General features: G+C 34.6%; 1 protein-coding gene across 4 annotated transcripts in view; it reads left to right on the top strand.

Moving 5' to 3' along the window:
- MMRN1 (multimerin 1) overlaps positions 1 to 23,734 on the top strand; it is a 75,104-nt gene extending 51,370 nt beyond the window's left edge. For all 4 annotated transcript variants that reach the window (NM_001371403.1, XM_047449831.1, NM_007351.3 and 1 more), the window contains 3 exons: positions 3,930 to 5,918; positions 20,725 to 20,871; positions 22,117 to 23,734. In NM_001371403.1, coding sequence (NP_001358332.1) covers positions 3,930 to 5,918; positions 20,725 to 20,871; positions 22,117 to 22,538 — 2,558 coding nt within the window. In that variant the 3' untranslated portion in view covers positions 22,539 to 23,734. The remainder of the gene's footprint in view (positions 1 to 3,929; positions 5,919 to 20,724; positions 20,872 to 22,116) is intronic.

Genomic DNA, 26,601 nt, shown 5'->3' on the forward strand with positions numbered 1-26,601 from the left:
TGCTTTAAAGCCTTTCTGGTGTGATTATCCATGTTATTTGATACAAAAGCTAGGACTATTTCTGTATAATTTATCTTAATTGTGGCTAGTTAGTCTTTTCTAATTCATTTAGCCTTTCCTTAGTACTTTAAGGCTGTGTGTCATATTGATTACTATTCTATATTTCATGTTTTGTTTTCTTTTTTCCATTACATACAAATTGATCTTTGGACTTTTAAACTTACTTTAGTTTCCACTAAGTTTATAAAAAGTAAAATAAAATATCTTTCCCATTTTATTTTCATCTGGCAACATGGATCTTTAGGGTGCAGGATTTCCAGAGAAATGTTTATCCATCTAAATTTTCATATTTACAGCTTCGTTTTTGTACAAAATTGTCAATATCAAGATGCTCAAACAATACATCATTCTATTTTTAATAATCACTCTTTCACATATTTTTATGTAAGTCCCTCATGTATGTTAAAAACTTACTTACAAAATGGAGACATGTGGAGCCTATTTTTTTAATCCTAGGATGATCTTTCTTTAATAGACTACATAGTAGCTATAATTGATGGCAATATCCCATTGTACAGACTTTCCTGTCTAAAATGCTTTGCATTGTATTGTGTGTATTTTACATTATAGTCATTGATTATTGTGTTAGTCCATTTTCATATTGCTATTAAAAAAACCTGAGACAGGGTAATTTATATAGAAAAAGAGGTTTGATGGACTCACAGTTCCACATGGCTGGGGAGGCCTCACAATCAAGGCAGAAGATGAAGAAGGAGCAAAGCCACGTCTTACATGGTGGCAGGCAAGAGAGCATGTGCAGGGGAACTGCCCTTTATAAAACCATCAGATCTTGTGAGACTTATTCACTATCATGAGAACAGCATGGGAAAAATCCCTCCCCATGATTCAATTTATCTCCCACTGGGTCCCTCCCACAATGCATGGGTATTATGGAAGCTACAATTCAAAATGAGATTTGGGTCAGGACAATGCCAAACCATATTATTTCACCCCGGCCCCTTCCAAATCTCATGTCCTCACATTTCAAAACCAATCATGCCTTCCCAACAGTCCCCCAAAGTCTTCATTCATTTCAGCATTAACTCAAGAGTCCACAGTCTGAAATCTCATCTGAGACAAGGCAAGTCCCTTCTGTCTATGAACCTGTAAAATCAAAAGCAAATTAGTTACTTCCTAGATATAATGCAGGCACAGGAATTGGGTAAATACAGCCATTCCAAATGGGAGACATTGGCCATAACAAAGGGGCTACGGGCCTCACGCAAGTCCGAAATCCAGTGGAGCAGTCAAATATTAAAGCTCCGAAGTGATCTCCTTTGACTCCATATCTCACATCCAGGTCACACTGATGCAAGAGGTGGGTCCCCATGGTGGTGGGCAGCTCCATCCCTGTGGCTTTGCAGGGTACAGCCTCTCTTCCAGCTGCTTCCATGGGCTGATTTTGAAGGTCTGTGGCTTTTTCTCATGCACAGTGCAAGCTGTCAGTGAATCTACCATTCTGGGGTCTGCAGGAGAGTAGCCCTCTTCTCACAGCTCCACTAGGCAGTGCCCAAGTGGAGACACTGTGTGGGGGGTCCCACCCCACATTTCCCTTCTGCACCACCCTAGCAGAGGTTCTCTATGAAGGCTGTGCCCCTGCCTGCACATCCATGTGTTTTCATACATTCTCTGCAATCTAGGTGGAGGTTCCCAAACCTCAATCCTTGACTTCTCTGCACCTTCAAGCCCAACACCACATGTAAGCCACAGGCTTGGGGCTTGCACCCTCTGAAACAATGGCCTGAACTATACATTGGTCCCTTTTAGCCATGGTTGGGACACAGAGCACCAAGCCTTGAAACAGCACAAAGCAGCAAGGCCCCCATGAAACTATTTTTTCCTCCTAGGCTTCCCAGCTGGTGATGGGAGGCACTGCTGGGAAGACCTCTGACATGCTCTGGAGGCATTTTCTCCATTGTCTTGGCAGTTAACATTTGGCTGCTTATTACTTATGCAAATTTCTGCCACCAGCTTGAATTTCTCCTCAGAAAATGAGGTTTTTTTTCTTTTCTATTTCATCATCAGCCTGCAAATTTTTGAACTTTTATGCTCTGCTTCCCTTTTAAACATAAGCTCCAATTCCAAGCCATATCTTTGTGAATTAATAAAACTGAATGCTTTTAAGAGCACCCAAGTGATATCTTGAACTCTCTGCTGCTTAGAAATTTCTTCTGCCAGGTATCCTAAATCATTTCTCTCAAGTTCAAAGTTCCACAGATCTCTAGGGCGGGGCAAAATGCCACCAGTCTCTTTGCTAAAGCATATCAAGAATCACCTTTGCTCCAGTTCCCAATATGTTCCTCATCTCCATCTGAGACCATCTCAGCCTGGACTTTTTGGTCAAAACCATTTGACAAGTCTCCAGGAAGCTCCAAATTTTCTGACATATTCCCGTCTTCTTCAGAGCCCTCCAAACTGTTCCCACCTCTGCCCGTTACCCAGTTCCAAAGTCGCTTCCACATTTTCAGGTGTCTTAATAGCAGTAGCCCACTCTATTGATAACCATACCCCACTCTGTTGGTAAAAGCTATATTAGTCCATTTTTATGCAGCTATGAAATAGCTGGGTAATTTATAAAGAAAAAGAGGTTTAATGGACTCACAGTTCCACATGGCTGGGGGAGCTTCACAATCGTGGCAGAAGGTGAAGAAAGAGCAAAGCCACATCTTACACGGCGACAAGCAAGACAGCATGTGCAGGGGAACTGCCCTTTATAAAACCATCAGATCTTGTGAGAACTCACTTACTATCATGAGAACAGCATGGGAAAAAACCCACCCCCGTGATTCAATTACCTTCCACTGGGTCTCTCTCACAACATGTGGGGATTATGGGAGGTACCATTCAAGATGAGGTTTGGGTGGGGACACAGCCAAACCATATTAATTATATTTTGAATTTGAATGGACATATCTTCCAGTTATGTGTACTTCATCACTAGATATTATAAATATATCTCTAGTATATGTATCTTTTCTGTTTTCTTTGTATGCAAGTTTTTTTATATTTTAAATAGTCATTTTCTATTCTAAATAGTTATGAATATTAATAGTTGTGAATAGTCCAGTACACTTTTCCTGTTCCTTTTTTTCATGCTACATTTAGAGACTACCACAATTATGGCTTATGATTAACCAATGTTTTCTAATATTTGAGATAGTACTATGTGTTTCATTACTTGCAAGTTTTCTCTTCTCTTTTTGTTAAAAATTAATGTCATACTATAATAATATGTCAGGTGTATCTTGAATTCCTATTTTCGTTGGAGGAAGACTTAATTTTGAAATCCCCAAATCTCATTATTATTATTTTATTGTTATTATAAAACACTATTAAATCTTATGAATATTACTTCATTTTTCCTCATTTGAGAATATCATTAAGGTTTTTCCCTGCAGTCAATTTATTAGCTTTTATAAGCCCAAAGCATAAGCTTTGCAACTTAATTAGTAGAAACCTAACAACACAGTCATGAGCTAACACCAGGTATTATTTACTAAGGCAGAAAGCCCAAAGCCATTTATTTTCACACAAAACGAAAACTAGACCTAGAATTATTGTACACAAGGGTGTATTACTGAAGTCAGTAGTAGTTCCGTCATGTCTTTCATCCAAAGGACCTTAGTTTTATGGTTTTAGTATGTTCTAGTATGTTCTGCAAGTGATATCTCCTCTCAGATTTATTATTCAAGGAATTGATCACCTTTTATAAATTATAGTAATTTTTAAAATTCTATAAGTAAATGTAGTTAAGAGGTATTTTTATTATTACGTGTTATTAATGTTTAATTTCAAACTTTTTATCTTTTAGAGATGCTTAAAGTCTCATATAATTAAAACTATGTATTATTAATTATTTCTTTCTCTAGGTCTAAAATCCAAAAGCATTAATGTACTGATAAGAGACATAGTAAGAGAACAATTTAAAATTTTTCAAAATGACATGCAAGAGACTGTAGCACAGCTCTTCAAGACTGTATCAAGTCTATCAGAGGACCTCGAAAGCACCAGGCAAATAATTCAAAAAGTTAATGAATCTGTGGTTTCAATAGCAGCCCAGCAAAAGTTTGTTTTGGTGCAAGAGAATCGGCCCACTTTGACTGATATAGTGGAACTAAGGAATCACATTGTGAATGTAAGGCAAGAAATGACTCTTACATGTGAGAAGCCTATTAAAGAACTAGAAGTAAAGCAGACTCATTTAGAAGGTGCTCTAGAACAGGAACACTCAAGAAGCATTCTGTATTATGAATCCCTCAATAAAACTCTTTCTAAATTGAAGGAAGTACATGAGCAGCTTTTATCAACTGAACAGGTATCAGACCAGAAGAATGCTCCAGCTGCTGAGTCAGTTAGCAATAATGTCACTGAGTACATGTCTACTTTACATGAAAATATAAAGAAGCAGAGTTTGATGATGCTGCAAATGTTTGAAGATTTGCACATTCAAGAAAGCAAGATTAACAATCTCACCGTCTCTTTGGAGATGGAGAAAGAGTCTCTCAGAGGTGAATGTGAAGACATGTTATCCAAATGCAGAAATGATTTTAAATTTCAACTTAAGGACACAGAAGAGAATTTACATGTGTTAAATCAAACATTGGCTGAAGTTCTCTTTCCAATGGACAATAAGATGGACAAAATGAGTGAGCAACTAAATGATTTGACTTATGATATGGAGATCCTTCAACCCTTGCTTGAGCAGGGAGCATCACTCAGACAGACAATGACATATGAACAACCAAAGGAAGCAATAGTGATAAGGAAAAAGATAGAAAATCTGACTAGTGCTGTCAATAGTCTAAATTTTATTATCAAAGAACTTACAAAAAGACACAACTTACTTAGAAATGAAGTACAGGGTCGTGATGATGCCTTAGAAAGACGTATCAATGAATATGCCTTAGAAATGGAAGATGGCCTCAATAAGACAATGACTATTATAAATAATGCTATTGATTTCATTCAAGATAACTATGCCCTAAAAGAGACTTTAAGTACTATTAAGGATAATAGTGAGATCCATCATAAATGTACCTCCGATATGGAAACTATTTTGACATTTATTCCTCAGTTCCACCGTCTGAATGATTCTATTCAGACTTTGGTCAATGACAATCAGAGATATAACTTTGTTTTGCAAGTCGCCAAGACCCTTGCAGGTATTCCCAGAGATGAGAAACTAAATCAGTCCAACTTCCAAAAGATGTATCAAATGTTCAATGAAACCACTTCCCAAGTGAGAAAATACCAGCAAAATATGAGTCATTTGGAAGAAAAACTACTCTTAACTACCAAGATTTCCAAAAATTTTGAGACTCGGTTGCAAGACATTGAGTCTAAAGTTACCCAGACGCTCATACCTTATTATATTTCAGTTAAAAAAGGCAGTGTAGTTACAAATGAGAGAGATCAGGCTCTTCAACTGCAAGTATTAAATTCCAGATTTAAGGCGTTGGAAGCAAAATCTATCCATCTTTCAATTAACTTCTTTTCGCTTAACAAAACTCTCCACGAAGTTTTAACAATGTGTCACAATGCTTCTACAAGTGTGTCAGAACTGAATGCTACCATCCCTAAGTGGATAAAACATTCCCTGCCAGATATTCAACTTCTTCAGAAAGGTCTAACAGAATTTGTGGAACCAATAATTCAAATAAAAACTCAAGCTGCCCTATCTAATTTAACTTGTTGTATAGATCGATCGTTGCCTGGTAGTCTGGCAAATGTTGTCAAGTCTCAGAAGCAAGTAAAATCATTGCCAAAGAAAATTAACGCACTTAAGAAACCAACGGTAAATCTTACCACAGTCCTGATAGGCCGGACTCAAAGAAACACGGACAACATAATATATCCTGGTAAGCTGTTACTGAAAAGTAACTTTTAATCTCTCTTTTTACTTAAATGATATTTAATAGATCTGTACAGTTGAGCAAGACCATTAAACATAAAACTACATACTTGAACTTGGATAGATAGTCAAGTTGTGAAGATCACTGACATTATTTAAATCTGAATCTATCTTACAGTATTTCAGACATCAATACAAAACAAATATTTCTAGTGTATATTTGGCTATGTGTTTTTAAAATTTTTCTGACTAGACCTCTATAAAATAATTAAATTTGCTCCTATGGAACAATTTGCTTTGCACAAGTAATTAAACAAAGCTATTAGGCAAGGAGATCTTTAATAGACCAGATTTACTTATTTTGGCATTTTACCATATCTGATATGCAATAGGAACTCAGTAAATACCTGTTGAATGATCATCTGACAATGAATGTTCAGGAAATAGATTTGGGTAAATCATAGAAGGCCATCAATGCCAAGCTAAGTACTTAGACATGATTTTGTAAAGAGTAGGGTGTCTGAAAATTGGTATCAGTGGATTGGTTGTGATAAGAGCTGCAACTCAGAAGCATGAAGCTAGCAATAGTGTGTAGTGTGATTGCAGAGGTGATATTAGGGATGTTACTGAATGAATATTGGCAAGAGCCATAGAGGAAGCTCTAAGGCTGATGTGAGAAATGTTGGAAAGTTCCCATCAACAGAAACAGAGGGAGAGTGGCAAGAAAAATGATTTGAGGAACATCAAATCTTGATTCTGGTCCTAGATGTATTAGTAAGTTTCTGTGTTAGTTAATAGCACTAGGTAAAAAGTTCACCTCTCTAGGCCTTAGTTTCTTCCTTTTAAGTGATGAGATTGCAGTAGGTGATTTGCTGAGGTGCTTAGTAGAGATATGCCGAAGACTGCTTCACTGTAAAAAAATCCACGATCTGTTCACAGCCTTAATGCATGACACTTGGAGAAGAGAGAGATCTAGACTTTCCCGATGTTTTGAATTTGGGAAATGACAGAATAGTGGTACCATTAACAGATGTTCTAAACACCAAGGAAGAAGCATGTATTTGGGAAGAAAGAGGAATTGTGTGGTGCATATAAATTGCATAATAGTACCTCTGTATGAAGGAAGTGTTTTATGAATATGGTTGTCATATAAGTAATATTGAATAATCTTTTCTAAATATGAATATCTCTTCATTCTTACAAAAAGTAATGGCTGTGTTTTTCTCATATGAGTCTGCTGTTAAATTATAGCCCATTTGTATGAATTTTGTACTTTATTTCTTTTTAATTACAAAGGATGATCATTATTCTAACATAATATGACTTCATATTTAATGTATGAATGTTTTGATAATATTAAAAATAACAGAATAATAGAGTTGAATTATCTCTACTATTTAAATTAGTATATTTATTTATGACTCCCCCAGAGTAATCTGACCTAATAGAACTAATTTTACTTCTGTAGGAACATAGAAGAAACTATTTAGACGTATATGTTTCCCAGAGAAAGGTAGTATCTCAATATAAGATGTTCTTAAAATAACAATTTTGGGAGATATAAGGAGTTGTTTTTTCCATACTATTTCCATTATTGGTCTTCATGTGGACACTTCATCATGATCTTCAATTAGCTATACAGCATGTGTGACCACACACCAGGCAAGCTATGTCATTTTTTAAACATATATATATATATATATATATATATATATATATATTTAAAATATATATATGCTATTTTCATAGTAAGTATAAAATTGAAATAGCCTCAAATAAATTGAGGAAAAACATTTATAGAACATTAAGAACTTGCAAACTTTGATAATATAATGAATGCATGTTAGGACATTATAAAAATTGTATCTAGATACTTATTGTGATTGACTCAATATTGGGCTTAATAGACTAATAATAGGAAATAACTCAGTTTTGATTCTTATTTTCCAATAAGGCTTTGATAACATTGCTTCCTGTTCCTTTATTTACTGACTGTAGAACTTTTTATGTTCCTGTCTACCAAAAATAACTATTAAAGTTCTTTATTTTATTTAAGCAAAGATACCAATAATGATGCCAAGGTAATAAAGATATACTGACCTAATTCCCACGTGCAAGGTAGATATTCCTTTTATGCCAGGCCGGGCCAGCAACATAATGTATGGGACCCTTTTAAGTGGTTGCATAGGTTTGCATGCCCATTAAGCCAGCCATACTTCCATGGGCCATAGAACAGATGTCAATCATTGGGCAGCTCAGCAGGCAAGGTCTATGAAAGATGATGAAACCAGTGGACTCAGGCTAAGTTCTCCTGTAAGAATAGAACAATTGCAGAATAAACTACTACTTTTGATACCCTGTTTTATACCAGGGGTGGGACACACTGTTTAAATTTGGCTGTTTCATTTCACCTTTGATATTGTATAAGTATTATACAGCCACATTGCTCTCCCACATAACTAAAGCCAGAAGATAATTTATCATCATCTTATGAATCTCAGAGTCATATTATTCAGATTCTAGCTGCCATCATTTGCAAAATAAGTACAGTATATAGAAAAAAGCATATAAATATAGTGTTTTAATCTTAATTTTAATAACTGATAACTTACTTTGAAGCCTGATAATATGAATACCGTAATAATACGACATTGGTTAGTATTCATTAACATTTACTATATCTCAGGCACTGTGAAAATTCCCAATATTCATAACTTCATTTAACAATACCTGTGAGGTAAGTATTATTATTTATTCTGAAGATGAGTAAACTGACCCTCGGAGACATTAACTAAAGTATCCTGCCTAAGGTCATTCAACTAGTAAGTGATAGAGCTTGGCTTCTGGCCAGCTAGACTCAGGGCTCAGTCCTCAACCACATGCTCAAAGAAATTATAGAGTGTGTTCACATGCCTTTCTCTTCTTTCTGTTTCTGTTTCATGCATCATATGTTCTTCAGTCTGGCCATATCTGAATATTCCATATGGCTGGAGCCGATATTTTTAGGGAGTTTCTTTTCTTGAAGATCCAAATACTGACAAGTTGTTTCTGCACATGAGGAAGTAGAGGTGCTACTTTTCAGTTTGGCTTTTTTGGGATATGGCCAGTGGGTACTTATTGAAAGTCACCATCAGATAGTCACAAGATCTTCCTTTGACTGACGAAGAAGAGGGACAAAATTCATTATTCTCATCCCTGCCACTTCCTTTTGAGCCATTCCTACATTCATTCATGCTATTTCTGATTCCTAGTAGGCCACTGATGATAAGATATTCTGGTTCAATTGCTAAATATTTGATTTGTTTCTAAACAATATTCTAATAGACACCAAGAGGTTTTTATTTCATCTTTGAAGATTTGTTTGTACAGCAATTGGCAGACTTATCCCTGCAGAGAGCTTTTGGCTGCTTGCCCTTCCAAAAGCAGCTGAATCCTGACTTAACACAATGTCAGCAGCTCACTGCTGAGCATGTGCACCTCCTGCTTGTAAAACCATTGGCTTTTTATTTCAACTTTTTCTCTAATGTTTATCAATTTAGCTCCCCTTCATAAACCTCTCTTATTAATAATTATTCCTGTACTCCCAAGAAAGATTACTTTCTATAAAACATTTGGTAGTGTTTTAAAATGTAATTTTAAAAATTATCATTGATGTGAATATATGCTATTTAAAAGAGAAAAAATGAGGACCTAGTGAATATTTAACTGTCTTATATCACATTGAAACCATTTCTAAATTTTGTGACTCTGCATAGAGGCAGCTGTGATGACTAATGAGCCCTGAATTTGGAATCAGGACACCAGGGTTCAAGTCCTGCCTGGCAATATATTTATTTGTAATAAGTCATTTATTTTTCTAGGCCTTTCTTTCCTCATTTATAAAATAAGAATAACATACAAACCTTATAAGTTTATTTTGAGAATCAAGAATATAATCTGCAGATAGTGTATTAAGTTATTACTATATGATGCAATTTTCTTAGCTATATTCAATGTATATGCTTTTATTTTCTCAACATTTTCACTTAATATTTGATATATAATTATTTCCATGCATCAACATAGTTTACAAACTTATAGCATCTCATTGTTACTTATTATTACTTTGATAATTCACTGTGTTTTAAACTCCGCATATGCTTATAACTTAGCTTATGGTCATCATGCAATGATAAATCAAAAAGAATAGGATACAAAATATAAAGACTGTGTAAAAACATGTGCATTGATAAGCACTGAAAATAAATGTCAAAGAATGGTTTTCTCCAAGCGATTTTCTACTATTTATATGATTTTCCATATTATAAAATATTTTCAAATATACCTCAAGATAACTAATAGGTTATCTTCTGTACAAAATGGCTGAATATAAGCCCGTTAAATTTTGAAAGCTATCTGCTTCAATTTAGAGTTTAGATGTGTTTTAGAAGTCCCCCAAATACGTGTACGCATTTGGTAATTCAATAGAAGTGCTCACAGGATCTGGCATATCCATAGTGTTCACATCTGTGGCTTATTATGGCAAAAAGTTCGTAACAGGATCAGCTAAGGAAAAAGATACAAGCAGAGTCTGGAGAAATTTAGGCACAGGATTTTTTATGTTTATCCCTCCCATGAAGGACAACATTTCTGTGTGCTCTTTTTTTCTAGTCACACACACATACACAAAATTAGTAACGTGTACATTAATTCTGCCCATACAAGCCCATCAGATACTCAGCACTTAGTTTTACTGGGGGCTGGTCACATAAGCATCCTCTGCCTAGGACATACCAAAACTCCATACTCTCAGAAGGGAAGCAGATATTCAGCATAAATCATATTGTTTGTACAAAGAGTCTGGGCATGGTGAATGACACTTACCAGTTAGGGAATGGAGAGAAGTCAAGTTCCCAGATGCTAACCAACTGCAAAATTTTCCAAGTAGGCCTTTCTAAAGATATCAGTCTCTGGCCTACTATGTTCACTCTTCTCTGCAGATTATCTTAAAGATATTCTTCATGTCAGAACTGGTTAGGAGGCCTGTCTGCTGGGGATGGCCTCCCCAATTTGTGTCAATAAAACATATCAGTGTTGAAGGAAATAGTAAATGAACTACTTTTTGTTCATGGCTCTCTGGGAGAAGAACAGACTCCCCCAGATTTCCATATGATTCCCTTCATATGGAAGAATGATGACAGCTAAAGAGCAAATGCTGACAAAATTGACAACCTTTTCTGTCACCTTGTCCTCAATAAAGTAGCCAGGCTATCTAAGGTGCATAGTCAGAAACCCAGACGTTTAATGATCACATTCTCTGAACCAAAATGTCTAACATTTGCTCTGACATGAAAAAGGAAATGGGATGGAATTCCAGGTTCCATTTACACAGTCACTGCATATGCTTGGGTTCTTTCCCAAGCAAAAATCACAGGAGCTACTTCCCAACAATAGACGATTTCTTTGACACCAAGGATTTGAAACGAAATTTGATTCTTAACTTGTCTGTAAATTAAATGCAATAAACATATATTTTTGTACTGGTCATTAACTATATTATGAATTTAAAATTGTACTCAATAGTATTATTTTGTAACTTATTGATTATCAAACATGAAAAGGAAGGTGGCAGGATTATTAAATTACAGATTGTAAATTTGCTATGGAATGATCTAAGTGAACATGATATTTTCATCCTGACAAAAATCACAGCATAGAAATAACAGCTGTGTAATATACTAACTGCATATGAAGTCTGAAAAACATACTTTAAGTTTTTAATTGCCAGTTTTACTATACATAGCTTAAAATGGGCTCTCCAAAGAAATAATTATTATTTTAGGATATAAACCTAATTTGAACTTTTTAATTCCAATTATGTTGACAGCATTGTTTTAGGGGAAAATATCACATGAAACTCCATTGATATCAATATTAATAAATCTAAACTCAAGTGTCTTTACCCTAAAATCAAATTACCAGTAAAATTATGACACAGTGTTTGGAGAAATAAAGCAATCAATGAAAAAAAATGATCGCATGTTGTGCCAGAATGATAAAAGTTCTAAACTACACTTATTTTTTTACTTTTTACAAAAAAGTAAACAATTGTTTTACAGTTAATGAACCTTCCTTTCAGAATTCTTTTCCAGACTTTATAATCTTAAACGAGTGTTAAGATTTGAAATTTGCGTGGAAATTTAGATTTGAGAGGTATTGGCATGAAAATGGTGTTTGGAAACTCTGGGTGTGGGTGAGCAGAGCCAGGGGACTCATGTAAGAGCAGAGTCAGAGGAAGAGCAACCTCTAAAGCTTAACTGGAGAGAGAGCAGTCTGGAGAGAATATCAAGAAGAAACAAAAGAGACAGGAGGATAAGCACATCTGATGTGGACGTTAGCATATGATTGCATTTTCCAGGCCTGCCAAAATAAATTGGAAGTTATAAAAAATACTTACTATCCCAAATCATCATCTGAATAATAATGAGACATCAACACTACCTTTTATATATAACCTAAATTCGGTGACTTTATTGTCAACTAAGAAACTGCTTGTACACAATCATGTGTACGTGTATTTAGTCATTTACTTGAATAGGAAATTTGTTTGAAAATGTGAAATTGCAGATTTACCTCAAGAGGATCTTTGTAAAACACTTTCCTAGATGGATGCTACAATAAAGACAAGATAATTTCTATTATTCATGGTTATATTAGCTTAAAATGTTGTGCTAAAACTTCTTAAAGCAGTTTTTGTTTTAGGACCCAAATGAATTATTTTTAGAATTATGAGTATTATTGGAAAGTTATAATGATTCTTAATTTTCCAACTTGATTCAACAAATATTACGTAAGTCCTAAGTGGGATCAAGTTAGAAAGCAAGGCTCTGGCTCAGAAAGCTTTGTAATTTTTTGTTCTAGAAGAATTTGATAGTGAGGCTGGGAGCGGTGGCTCACCACTGTAATCCCAACACTTTGGGAGGCTAAGGTGTGCAGATCACTTAAGGCCAAGAGTTCGAGACCAGCCTGGCCAACCTGGCGAAACCCCATCTCTAATAAAAATACAAAAATTAGCCAGGTGTAGTGGCACGTGCCCAACTACTAGGGAGGCTGAGGCAGGAGAATATCTTGAACCCAGGAGGAGGAGGTTGCAGTGAGCCGAGATCATGCCACTGCACTCCAGCTTGGGCAGCAGAGCGAGACTCTGTCTCAAAAAAAAAAAAATGATAGTGAAAGATATACCTATAGAGCAGTGCAATGTTCTGTTATATTTTATACTTTTTTTGATATTTTGGTATGTGCATAAGAATACCATGTTATTATGAAGCTATTTTGAATGTGAAAGAAAAGAAACAACATACCACAGCATATTCTAACTATTTATCTAACTTGTATTCAATTTTTGACTTTTGTACATTTTAATTTTTTTCTCTATTTTAAATAGTGCCACACTAATTAATTTTTGTGACCATCTCTAATCTTATTTCCTTAAGATAACATCCAAGAAGTAAAATTACTGGTGCAAAGCCCATGCACATTTTGAAAGAATTTGATAAATATTGCCAAGTTTCTCTTCAGAGAGTATCAATTTACGCTCCCTTGAGCAACTTATGAAAGGGCCAAGTGTTATACCTGTGTGCACATATATACACATGGGCACGTTAACTTTGCCCAAAAAGTTTGTCCAAAAAATTAAAAAATATTTAAATATGAGACTTTTAACAGACAATGATGACACTATGGATATCTTTTATTTTTATCATTTTAATAGGCGTGCAGTTATATCTCATTGTAATTAGGGAAGCAGATTTCACAGCTATATGGATGAGGGTTGTTTAGAGGCAGGCAAAGCGATGTTAAGACGGCTATAATCATCTAGATATGAGAAAATGAGAGCATCAATTAGAAAAGTTAATGGGGATGGAATGGAAATCAAAGAGCAGGGAGATTACTTTTGAGAAGTTACATTTGGTAAAATAATAAGTTTTATAGACAACAAAGAAGGTGGGATGATGAACTACAATATTCTTAGTGATTTTGAAATCCAAGGTAGGAAATTAAGGGACTTGAAACAACGCGAGTTTATTTGTTTGTGGTATAACTTACATTTAGTTAAATGTACTAATGTTGATAGATAGCCTATGAGTTTTGACAAATACATAGTCGTATAACCTTCACCATAATCAAGATAGGGATCAGTTCCATCACCACCCCAAATTTCCTCATGCACCTTTGTAGTCAAACCTGTTCCTACTACCAAGCACTAGCAACCAGTGATCTGTTTTCTTCCCAGACAATTCTATTTTTTCCAGAATATGTAAGAAACAAACTCATACAATATGTGGAGGCTTTGGAGTCTGGCTTCTTTCACTTCATGTAACATATCTGAGATTCATCCATGTTCTTGCATGTATTCATTTTTATTCATAAGTAGTGTATAGTATAAATATACAATTTCTTTATCTATTTACCAGTTGAAGGATCTTTTTTTGGTTGTTTCCAGTCTGGGGTTACTGTGGATAAAGCTGCTATAAACATTCACATACAGGTTTTTGTATGAATGTCAGTTTTTGTTTCTCTCTTATAATTATACAGCAGTAGCATAGTTTGGTTATAAGATACATAGTTTTAACTTTAGAAGGAATGACTAACCACTTGGCATTTCCATGAATAATATATGAGAATTCTAATTGCTCCAAATTTTTGCCAGCACTTGACATTGTCAATATCTTTCATGTTATTTTAGTAGGTACATAGTTATATCTCACTGTGGTTTTGTTTTGCATTTTCCTAGTGACTAGGAACACTGAACATATTTTAATGTATTGGTCAGACAATGTTTTTAATTCTTCTCTTGATTGATGGTTATAACTCTAAAGAAAAAGGATAAATCAGTTCACGATATCAAACAAAAACATTTAATTTCCTAGGTCACAGCTTAAGATAACAAAATAATAGCAAGGGATAAAGTAAATCCTTTCGGACAGGTCTAAGATATTTGCTGAAGATTGCTGATACAACTAAATGTGCCTTAAAGTAATATATGAAGGGTTGAGGAAAAAAGATCCCAGAAAACAATATAAGAAACAATTGGTGTGATATAAAAAGAATACCAAAAATAAAAACTGACAGTTTGAAGGAAAAGCAGTAAACATGGTTTGAAACAGTATTTCCATCCATCTATACACCAAAGAACACAATGTTAGTAATTAGAGCAATGCATTTGAAAACTTAATAAAAACAAATAAATGTTAGTATTCCTAGAAGTTGCTGGCAATGGGCATATGAAATATTTCTAGAGCAACAGGAAGATAAGCCTTATTTGATATAAACAGTTTTGACAAATGGGGAAGCATAATAGCACTGAAACTTAAGAATGTGTCCATTAATATGGAAATGAAAACATTTTACAGAGCATTGGAATCAGGATGAAACATAAAGAAAAGTGCAAATGTTGTGTGGGCATGTTACCTAGGAGCAGATTTGTGTAATGCTTTCATCTGTGTATTATAAAATGGGAGGACAGGCAAAACGATAAGTTCCCTCGCTAATCTCTTGGAAACTCCATTGTGTCCTAGCAGAGATCAGTTATCTGCCCTCTACAATGTTACTGTTTACATGAAGAAATTAAGATTTTGATGCTAAAGTAGAAGTAAGCAATAAAATATAAAGTAAAATTAAAATAAAAGTATATGATAGATAACATTATATGTAATAGAAATAAATGTAAGAATACAGTAGAAATCATCAACACAATGTATCCCTTTATTCATCAAATTCCTGTTGAATGAGTTCTGAATGAGCACTGAGGAAAGTTGAGTGAATAGAGCGGTAAACTCAACACAGCCCCTCTTCTCATGAAGTTCATACATTAATCGAGTAATTATAATAAAAAATGACAAATATTAGGAATGACAGGGTGCTTTGAAAATGCAAGGTGCTCTCCAATTAGTTCAAATATGTACATTTATGAAATATGAAACTAGGATTAATAGAAAATTGTAACTAGAGCACATATTAGGGTCCAGAAAGCAAAGACCAGAATAAATTGAAATTTATAAATGAAATATCAGTTATGCTACTTGCACAGTGGTAGAATGTTGACTTGGAAGAACTATTGAACTAATTGCACTGATCTCCATTAAAAAAAATGGACAGGAAGGAGTTTAAGAGGTTATTGAAGCTCAAGGTAAGGGGAGAAGTTGTGGAAAGTTCGCTTAAATGGATTCACTTCTGGGCACAGTGGCTCACACTGTAATCCCACATTTTGGGAGGCCAAGGCAGGTGGATCACCTGAGGTTGGAAGTTTGAGACCAGCTTGGCCCACACGGTGAAACCCCGTCTCTGCTAAAAATACAAAAAATAGCCTGGCATGGTGGTGCACACCTGTAGTCCCAGCTACTTGGGAGGCTGAGGCAGGAGAATAGCTTAAGTCCAGGAGGCAGAGGTTGCAGTGAGCCAAGATCATGCTACTGCACTCCAGCCTGGACGACAGAGCGAGACTCCATCTCAAAAATAAAACAAATAAATAAATAAATAGATTCATGTCTCTAGGATAACATGACAATGATAGCATAGTGTCAAACTCTGTGACATTTGAGAAACTGGGAAGAAGGTTGAAATTTGATAAGAATGTGGTATTCTATTCCATCTTTTATTAATTTGTCTATTCATTTTTAAAACTACTTTAGTATTTTCTATATGTCAGGCACTGTGCTAATAAGGTTGATATGAAGTTTAAGTCATAGAGAACATGATCCCTGACCTCATGAAAGCTCATACTCTTGTTGGAAGTAAGAAAGACACCAAAGCAATTACAGTTGAGTGTGATGAATTCAAGAAGACAACTTTGGAGCATCAGGCAGCAATGGAGAGAACTAAAGTGATTTACTCCTAGGGATGAGGAAAGATGTCATAAAGAAAATGATGCTTTATTGGAGTTTGATTTTTGTTGGTAATTCAAGAACAAGTAGCCTATTAAGCACAAATATGAGCAGGTACTTATAAAGGTACCTAACCATTTTTTAAGCGTTTTAATAATAAAGGAGAAAAATAAGTCAGGTGGTGTACAAAAGTTGATTTTGTTTTGTTTTGTTTTTTGAGATAGAGTCTCACTCCGTCGCCCAGGCTGGAGTGCAGTGGCGTGACCCTGGCTCACTGCAACCTCCGCCTCCTGGGTTCAAGTAATTCTCCTGCCTCAGCCTCCGGAGTAGCTGGGATTACAGGCACACACCACCACACCCAGCTAATTTTGTATTTTTAGTAGAGATGGGGTTTCACCATGTTAGCCAGGCTGATCTCAAACTCCCGACCTCAGGTGATCTGCCCGCCTCAGCCTCCCAAAGTGCTAGGATTACAGGCGTGAGCCACCGTACCCAGCCAAAAGTTGATTTCTAACTCATTGTATAACAAAGTACAAATAGCTTCAGTTGGAAAATCAGTGCCATTCAATCTTTAGTTGTCTGTTATAAGGCTCTGTACTTGTCACTAATCCATCAGGTATTTTTTTTCTAGTACGTATTTTTATCGATAACTTGGAGGAACGCATGAGACATAAATTTGGAAATGATAACAAAGATAGGGGAGGGTGGCTGAAACATCTATACAGAATAAAACTGAATGCTTTCTATGGACAGAGATGGTAACTCATGTCTAATAAGATAAATTTTATTATCAATAATAATTGTAAATTCATGTTTAAATGAATTAAATAGACATGAGATTTTAGAAAGCTTCAATACATCAGAGCACAGGAGACCTGTTATGAGACAGTGTGATACAGATGCAGAAATAGACAATGAATACTTAATGCTTGTGTTATCTTGACAGAAGTGTAAGTTCATTTCAGCAGGGGTAACTAGCAATTGCTACCATAACCTACTATGCTTGGGCTCAACTGGTACAATATGTCCAGTTCTGGGTGCCATGGACATGATTTTATATTTTAAAATGTGATTATTTTGGCAGAGACTTGGAAAGTCCAGACATACCTAAAATAGCAAAAAGAGGCACAGAAAGGAACTTAAAACAGAAGCAGTCGAAGCAGGTACAGACAAGTGGCTGAGGCATCCTGAGCAGATAATCAGTAGGCACCATGAAAGATGTCCTAGAAGGCAAGCTGTGTGCAGTCTCAAGAAGTTTGGGCTACTGTAACAGTAGTAGTAGATGCAGACCTTCAATTAAACTTAAGTGTAGCCCTACTCCAGATGAATGACCCTAAAAAGAAATTGGAAAATGGGGTAAAATAGCACCCTCTGAAATGACTCAAAGAACTACAGCAAGGCAAGACCCAATTCCTAAAGTAATGGAACATAAAGAAGCAAAAAATGGAATGCTGCTCCTGGACATTAAATAGCAGGCAGAATCCTTGATCCTGAAGATTCAGAGTAGAGCCAACAGCAATGCAGATAAATCTAATTTTTTCCACAGTTTCTTAAGTTCTCCTTATAGCACAGCTTTGATCCCTGATTCATGAACAGGGCCAAGGTTACAGGTGACTGTGATTTTTTATATTTGGGAAAATTAAAATTATAGAGCTGATCAAATTACATAAATAAGTTAGTGTTCCCCCCAACTCTACTGCACAATTGATACATTCCTAGTGAAACCCATTAATTGAAACTTCTCCTGTGAGTTGATCACTGTGCTAAATTCAGAGAATGTAAAAATAAATGAAGCAAATGCTTTGATACAGAATATTCACATTACTATAAGTAATGAAAAGTCATTGATGTTTTTAATGCAGGAAAATAATGGGCAAAGTTCTGGAATGTTAATGAGCAGCAAAAAAGGGATTTGATAATCTATTCACATGCAGCAAAGTGAGGTTAAAGGAATGTTAGCCAGTCGAAATATTTGTTAAAAGGTATTACACACATGTAATATTTTAATACTTTTCTTAATAAGGAAAATAGTTTATAGAATATTGCAGAGAATATATCAAGATAATTCTGATTAATTTCTCATTACATAAGTACAATATTAATATATTTGCTTTGCAAAAAATTTTAATAATACAGGCATGCCGTTTGTTCACATTTTATGTGAATTTCAATTGTATGGCTATGAAACAAAATGTATATAAAAATTTATAGGTCTCACTTCATGAGAAAAATATTACACAAAACAAATAACTTCCAAATTAAAAATCATCAACAATCACCTGGTTTGAAATGAGTGGATGGTAAACTACATCATTACCATAAGGTGGCACCAGAGTAACTGTGGCAAGTAGTATAAGCGCTGAATTCTTCTGACCTTGTTTCTGCATTTACATAATTATGCATTATGTTTATAACCATATTCATAATTTGAAGCTTTCACAACAAATGAAATTATTCTATATGTAATGTGTGAGCTGTAACTTTCTGTCTTCAGTAAACCAAACCTGTTGGAGAATCTACCTCATTCTTTAATTGCTGTCTAATATTCCTCAGTGGGAATATGTTACAATTTATTTAACAAGTCCTGCATCAGTGATCATTTAGGAGTCTTTAAATTTTTCAAGAATGCAAGTGATATCATTTTGAATTGAAGAATTGTCTTTGTGCACATGGACAAGTATGTCTGGAGTATATATATACTGCCAGAAGAAATGTTTGGCTCAAAGTAAATTAACCTTTTTAATACTGATAAATATCGTCACATTGTCCTATTAACAGCTATAGCAGTTTACACTCCAGCCAGCATTGCATGAAAAGGCCCATTTTCCCTTATATTGACATGACTGGATATTTTCTACGTATCTTTTTAAATGTTGCCACCTTATATTTAAATAATGTTATTATTGCTAAATTTATTATTTCTGAATTAGTAATGAGGTTGCATATGCTTTAAAACTTTTAGTGACCTTTTGTGGGTTTTGTTCAATGATTTGCCTACTGATACATTCTCCGTTTTTTAACTTATTTTTTTCTGATCTGTAAGTGAAGACCATTTTCTTATTTTTATTTATTTTTTATTTAAAAAATTAGAGATGGGGTATCACTATGCTGCTCAGGCTGGTCTCAAACACCTGGACTCAAGCCATCCTCTTGCCTTGGCCTCCTGAAGTGGTGGGGTTACAGGTGTGAGCCACCATACCCGGCCTCATTTTCCATTTTTAAGGGAGAATTTTTTTTTTCTTTTCAGAGTTTTTCATATGTTATGAATATTAGTCATTAGATTGCCATGTCTTCTAATTTTGTAACTTATCATTAAACTTTGAAAATGGTGGTTTTCAATGCAAATGAGTTTTAATTCTTAGGTCAAACATGATAATGTTTTTCTCTTATGGTTTCTGAGTTTTGTTTTCCTTTGCTTTGCTTTGTTTTGCTTTGAAAGAATTTTTTAAAATTTTAAAGCTCTAGAAAGATATTCTCCTTTTTTGTTGTAATGCAATCATATTGGTTTTTTTATATTTAGTATTTTTGTATATGTGGAATTTATGTTTCTAATATATATTCAATACCACCTTAGCACCATGTATCGAACAGATATTTTTCTTCTCAGTGATTTAAAGCATTACCTTTATCAAGTACCAGTTTCAAATATACATGATTTGTATTGAGATAATTCTATTCTGTTCTGCAGTTGACAAGAATGTTAACATTTCACACCAATAAATGTAATGGATCACAGAATTTTGCCCACTTTACTGAAGGAGATAGAGAGATCAGAGCTAAGGGATTTGCATGACGTCCTGTGCCCAGATCGACAGGCATCCTGGGCCGTGGAGCCCATTTTTCTTACTTAAAATTCAGTCTTTTTCCTATTCTGCTGCAAACTACGATTTGAGATCAACAGGAAAATAGGTCACTTTATTCTCTTTTACCTTGATTCTTTTTCCGTAACAGAGGAGTATTCAAGCTGTAGTCGGCATCCGTGCCAAAATGGGGGCACGTGCATAAATGGAAGAACTAGCTTTACCTGTGCCTGCAGACATCCTTTTACTGGTGACAACTGCACTATCAAGCTTGTGGAAGAAAATGCTTTAGCTCCAGGTAAAAAAAAAGTATACGCATCTTTGGATTTGCTCATTGTCATAAATAGAAACACGTTTTGAAAATATTTATTAATGAATATTTAAGCCTGCTTAATCTGGATCCACTTGACAATTCCTTTTACTTTTTCGAAACTTACTGAAGAATGTACCTGATTTACAAGTGGAAATGTCCTTTTGTTAGGCAAATTCTTATTCACATGCACCTGTTGAAATTTTCAATATTGCTATATAGAGGCAGTTTATGGAAAATTCTACCCCCTCACAAACTTTTTTTCTCTTGTGCATCCTAAAAATATATGGATGTATATATCTGACTGATAGAAACACTTTCTCCTCAAACAAGCAGTTAAAGAAATACGCCTTTGATTTATGTCTGGTATGGTCATTTAAATGAGGCTTTAATACATGCTTAGTAACACGTTTTCTGTGAAGGTTAAACTAATGGCACCATTTTGACTGTGTGAGAACTGTTAGAACATGCTCAAATGTATTAAGTAAAACAAGATGGCTTTTTTATTTATTTAAATTCATAAGTATTGGTGCTTTGGATTTACTTCAGGAGTGCACCATTTCTGATTTTTATACAGAAATGTATGTGCAGCATAAAAATGTGTTATTTAATGACTGCAAAAAAACCTATTTCAAATCAGCTTTTTCTTAATAATATCCTGCATAGTGAAATGTAAATTTTTTAGTCTGTTTTTAGATCTCAGCCTTTGTAAGTACAATTGGCATTAATTACACAGAAAATTGCCTTTGTCTACTTTGCTGCAGTGAATATGACTTTATATGGTTTTCGTTTTAGCCTTTAGAAACTGCTTGACAAGGTGCCGGAAAAATTGTTTCTACATCATGTCAGCTTCAATTCCTGCAAGGGGCTTTAAAACATTCTGACATAACCATAATAATCATAGAGTGCTTTGAATTCCTTTATCTCTGGGGAGATCAAAGCAACATGCAAATTATCTTTGAGGCATTTCTGTGAGGAAGGTATCAAATGTTATTTTTATTCTGTCCTGATCTAAATGGAGAAACTGAGGCAACAAGAGGCTAAGCAATTTAGAGTAATTTACCCCAGAGAAGAGACAGGCATTGAGACACGTGCACCTTTGCTAAGTTTGATGGATGGCCTTTCTCTTCTGCTAAGACTTTTTGTAACTGAGATAAAAATGACGAAGATATAAGGAAAGAAAAATAAGATAAAAACATGAAAATTAACTCTTGCCATTTTTTCCTCTAACAGATTTTTCCAAAGGATCTTACAGATATGCACCCATGGTGGCATTTTTTGCATCTCATACGTATGGAATGACTATACCTGGTCCTATCCTGTTTAATAACTTGGATGTCAATTATGGAGCTTCATATACCCCAAGAACTGGAAAATTTAGAATTCCGTATCTTGGAGTATATGTTTTCAAGTACACCATCGAGTCATTTAGTGCTCATATTTCTGGATTTTTAGTGGTTGATGGAATAGACAAGCTTGCATTTGAGTCTGAAAATATTAACAGTGAAATACACTGTGATAGGGTTTTAACTGGGGATGCCTTATTAGAATTAAATTATGGGCAGGAAGTCTGGTTACGACTTGCAAAAGGAACAATTCCAGCCAAGTTTCCCCCTGTTACTACATTTAGTGGCTATTTATTATATCGTACATAAGTTAGTATGAAAAACAGACTATCACCTTTATTGAGAAACAGCCAGTGTTTTCATTTATCTTTGCTTGCACATCTGCTCTGTTTTGGTTTTTCTACAGGAAATGAAAATCAACTTGTTTTTTTAATATGAGTAAACTTGTATGTCTATTTTATAAAATTATTTGAATATTGTTTAATGTCTGAATATGAAAGAGTTCTTGATCCTAAAGAAATTTAGTGGCACAGAAAACAAAGTGAATTTGTTAGCATAATTATTCCTATTCTTATTTCTTCATTTTAAGTCATTGCAATGGAAAGTAATATTATAAAATGGTAATTACAACATATTATCAGTCACAGTTTTCTTTCCAATTAAACACTTAACTTTTGTTATTCCCTGTATATAAATATATAACACACATTTTCTAGATTCACAAATTTAAATAAATTACTCAAAAAATGAAAATTGATTTTGTAAACTTTTATTTTTACTCTTTACGTTGAGTTGATCAATTTTCCATACTAAGATTTTCATTCAGAATCAAAATTAAGAAAGTTGGACTGAAAATATGAAAAATGCTTAACTATTGTTCTCTTCCTATAATTCTCTAATTATAACATAGTAATTTACATGTAGTTGGACATGTACACTCAAGTCTAAGAATATATGAGTGGATCATTTACCGCCCCCCGCCCCACAACATCTATAAGGGGCAAAAAGTCTTTTTCTAATAAGTATTCTTCTATGGTAGTACCTACAGATCTGCCCTTCTTCTTCTAAAGGGTAAGTCATAATCTGTGTAATACTACAATTTATGGGATGCTCACTATGCCCTGTTTCTCTTCTAAACAATTTACATGTAATGTCTCATTCCTCACAATAACCCTTGTAAAGTGGGCATGATTACCATGATTTTTATAGTTGAAGAACCTAAGACACAGAGACCAAGGCCCATGAGCTCATAGGGCTGAGGCAGGATTTGGAATCAGGCCATGTCTTCTCCAGAGCCCACATCCATCCTTTCTCTATATTGCCTCCCACAGATGTGCTAAAATTTATTTAACTAATCCTTTATCCTCTATTTGTGTTGTCTCCCATTTTTTATTATTACAATATTACTGTGGTGAACATGCTTAAAAATACATTCCTTGGATATCTGACAACGTGTTTCTGAAAAACAGATTTTCATAAGTAATAATAAAAATAATAATAAAAAAGTTTTGGTATGGTAAGCCTTTTTTATGAATTGATTTGTTTAATGATCACTATAACATAATGAATTACATATTAACCTATGATATTTGTACTACATATTATTACTCTCTTTCTGCCCATGAGAATCAGAAGCACATAGAAGTTAAATAATTTTCTCAGTAGTATAACCAATGATGGAGAATTTCTGGGACAAAGGATGATCATAATTTTCCATTTCGATGGGTACTAACAATCTAAGTCTATGAAAAACTGCTCTTTATACCCCACACATCCTCATCAAAATTAACAATTTTTGAAATATTTCCAGTCCTGAAAGTGAATATCTTCTATTTGTAGAAGATACTTGAAAATTTTTCAAATTTGCTAAAACTTGAAAGCATACATCCATACAAAGACTTGTAAGTAAATGTTCATAGTCAGTTTATTTGTAATAGCTGAAAACTGGGAATCACCCGCATGTCCCGCGACAGACAAAGGGTTACGCAAACTTTCGCATACAAATACAATAGAGTACAACACCTGGGAATTTCACAATAACTATGCAGAAGATTTTAAACTGCAGTCTAACAAACTTTGTCACCTCTGCAAGGAGGAACTCTAAAGTAAGTATTGTCCATCAGAATGTCCTGCGCTGAGTCAAAATAATCAGGCCTTCATACCCTAGCCTCACTCAGTACTAGATTCAGGCTGCCAAAGAAGAGTGTGACCTAAGAGTTAAAACCGACAGCTGGATGCATTAGTCCATCCTCGCATTGCTATAAAGAACTACCCAAGACTGGGTAACTTATTAAGAAAAGAGGTTTAATTAACTCACATTTCCACAGGCTGTATAGGAAACATGGCCCGGAAGGCCTCATGAAACTTATAACCACAGCAGAAGGTGAAGGGGAAGCAGGCACGTCTTACGTGGCTGGGGGAGGTGGAAGGGGGAGAGGTAGGAGGTGCCACATACATTTAAACAATCAGATCTCGTGTGAACTCACTATCAGGAGAGTAGCTGGGGGGAAATTCACCCCCATGGTCCAGTCAAATCCCACCAGGCCCCTCCTCCAACACTGGGGATTATAATTCGATATGAGATTTTCGTGGGGACACAAATTCAAACATATCACTGAATGATGACAATTTTTATCCTGTTATGTGTAAACATGTCATTTTCAAAAACATTTAAAAAGTTCTTATGATATCTTCAGTCCCTGCCTAAAAATTTACTATAATCTAAATTTTTAAAATTTTATTTCTTCAAGGACTCACAGATTAAAATACAATTTTTGCTTTCCAAATATACTTTTCAACATAGATTTCAGTGATTTCATTATATTGTTTTTCTTTACTGTTACCAGAACAGAAGGAAGTAAATCATTTGACAATGTTCATCATTGCATTGTCCAATATAATTTATTGATTTTTAATTAGATAATAACATTTAGCATTAAATAATGCTTTGGTGTTTGGAAATATAATTATTAATAATAGTCTTTATTTTTATATGGATTCATAGAATATACAATTAAATAACAAATTGCCACCAATAGCCAAGAGGCATTATAGCAACTTTTAAGTTGCTGTGAACTTGCTTGGCTATATTTTTAAAGCCACTCAATATAATCAAAGATAATTTAGTATTGTATTTTTAATGGTCATCTTCAAACTTATTCATGTAGAAAAAAATATAGCACTGGAACGTTTCTTTATTTCTTCTATGGACATAGCCAAGTACCTTGAATATTATTTTGTAGATTCAATTTCAGAGCCCTTCTCTCTCACAATATCTTCCTGCCACACCAGCTCCCAAAGTACATCAGGTCACTAATTACTGATGAAAATCTCAAATCCATTCATTTATTACTTAATAAGTAGCTAATTATTATACCTAATTGAAGGTACATAATATAGGAGGCATGTTAAATTATATATAACAAATAATAAAAAGTATATAAAGTAAATCAGTACAGACAAATGTTGCATTTGAAATACATAATCCGGGGTCATGATGGCATTTACTACCACCAGAATCATGGATAGCTCTGTAAGAATGAGAAATTTATCTTCAATAACCACCGGTCTCTTTTTTTTTTTTTTTTCTTTGCACTATTGACCAATCTTCTATTACCTCCTTTTGTATCATTCCCAGAATTGAGAGACTTCCCATACAAAGCCATAAGTGTCTACAATTGCTCTTTCTTACTCATTTCACCAGTTAAAATTCTCAATTTGGAAGAATAAGCTATTATTAGTTAATCATTAAGAAATGATTAAAATAAGCCATCCTAATTTTCATTTGGCTTGGTTTTTAGTGCACATAGAGATAATTTTTTGGTTGTTGTTCATCTGTTTCAAAATATAAATTTATTAACTCACATTGGAAACCTCGTGAGCCATACATAGTATATGTCTTCAACAAAGATAATTTTCAATGTAGCAAAATTTTTCTCATTATTCAAAATTTTTTCTATCATTTATCATTGCAAGGCACCTGTGGGATACATTAAAGCAAAAATATAGGCCTGCCCTTCCTAGAGTGTACAATTTAGCTGAGTTGCTCTCCTGTGTGGAAGGAAGGGATGTTTGCTTATTTCCTGTCCCGGTGATTTCAAACCGAGGGTTTCATCAACAGCCTGGGGAGTGTTATTAAGAACCTTCCCTTCAGTGCTTTTACCACAGCTCAGTGAGAATTCTCAATGAGCTATACTGCATTTGTGTTCAGAGAAAACAACAATAAAGTAGTATTTATTTCTCTGGGCTGACATCCTAATTACATAATCTAAAACTCTGGGAAAAGTCCAAATTTTGGAGTTTTTATTATATTTACTCATGAATTGCTTCATCAACTTTCAAAGCCAGGGCTTTAGTCAAAACACTTTTCAGA

Source organism: Homo sapiens, chromosome 4, assembly GCF_000001405.40.
Source record: "Homo sapiens chromosome 4, GRCh38.p14 Primary Assembly".
NCBI lineage: Eukaryota > Metazoa > Chordata > Mammalia > Primates > Hominidae > Homo > Homo sapiens.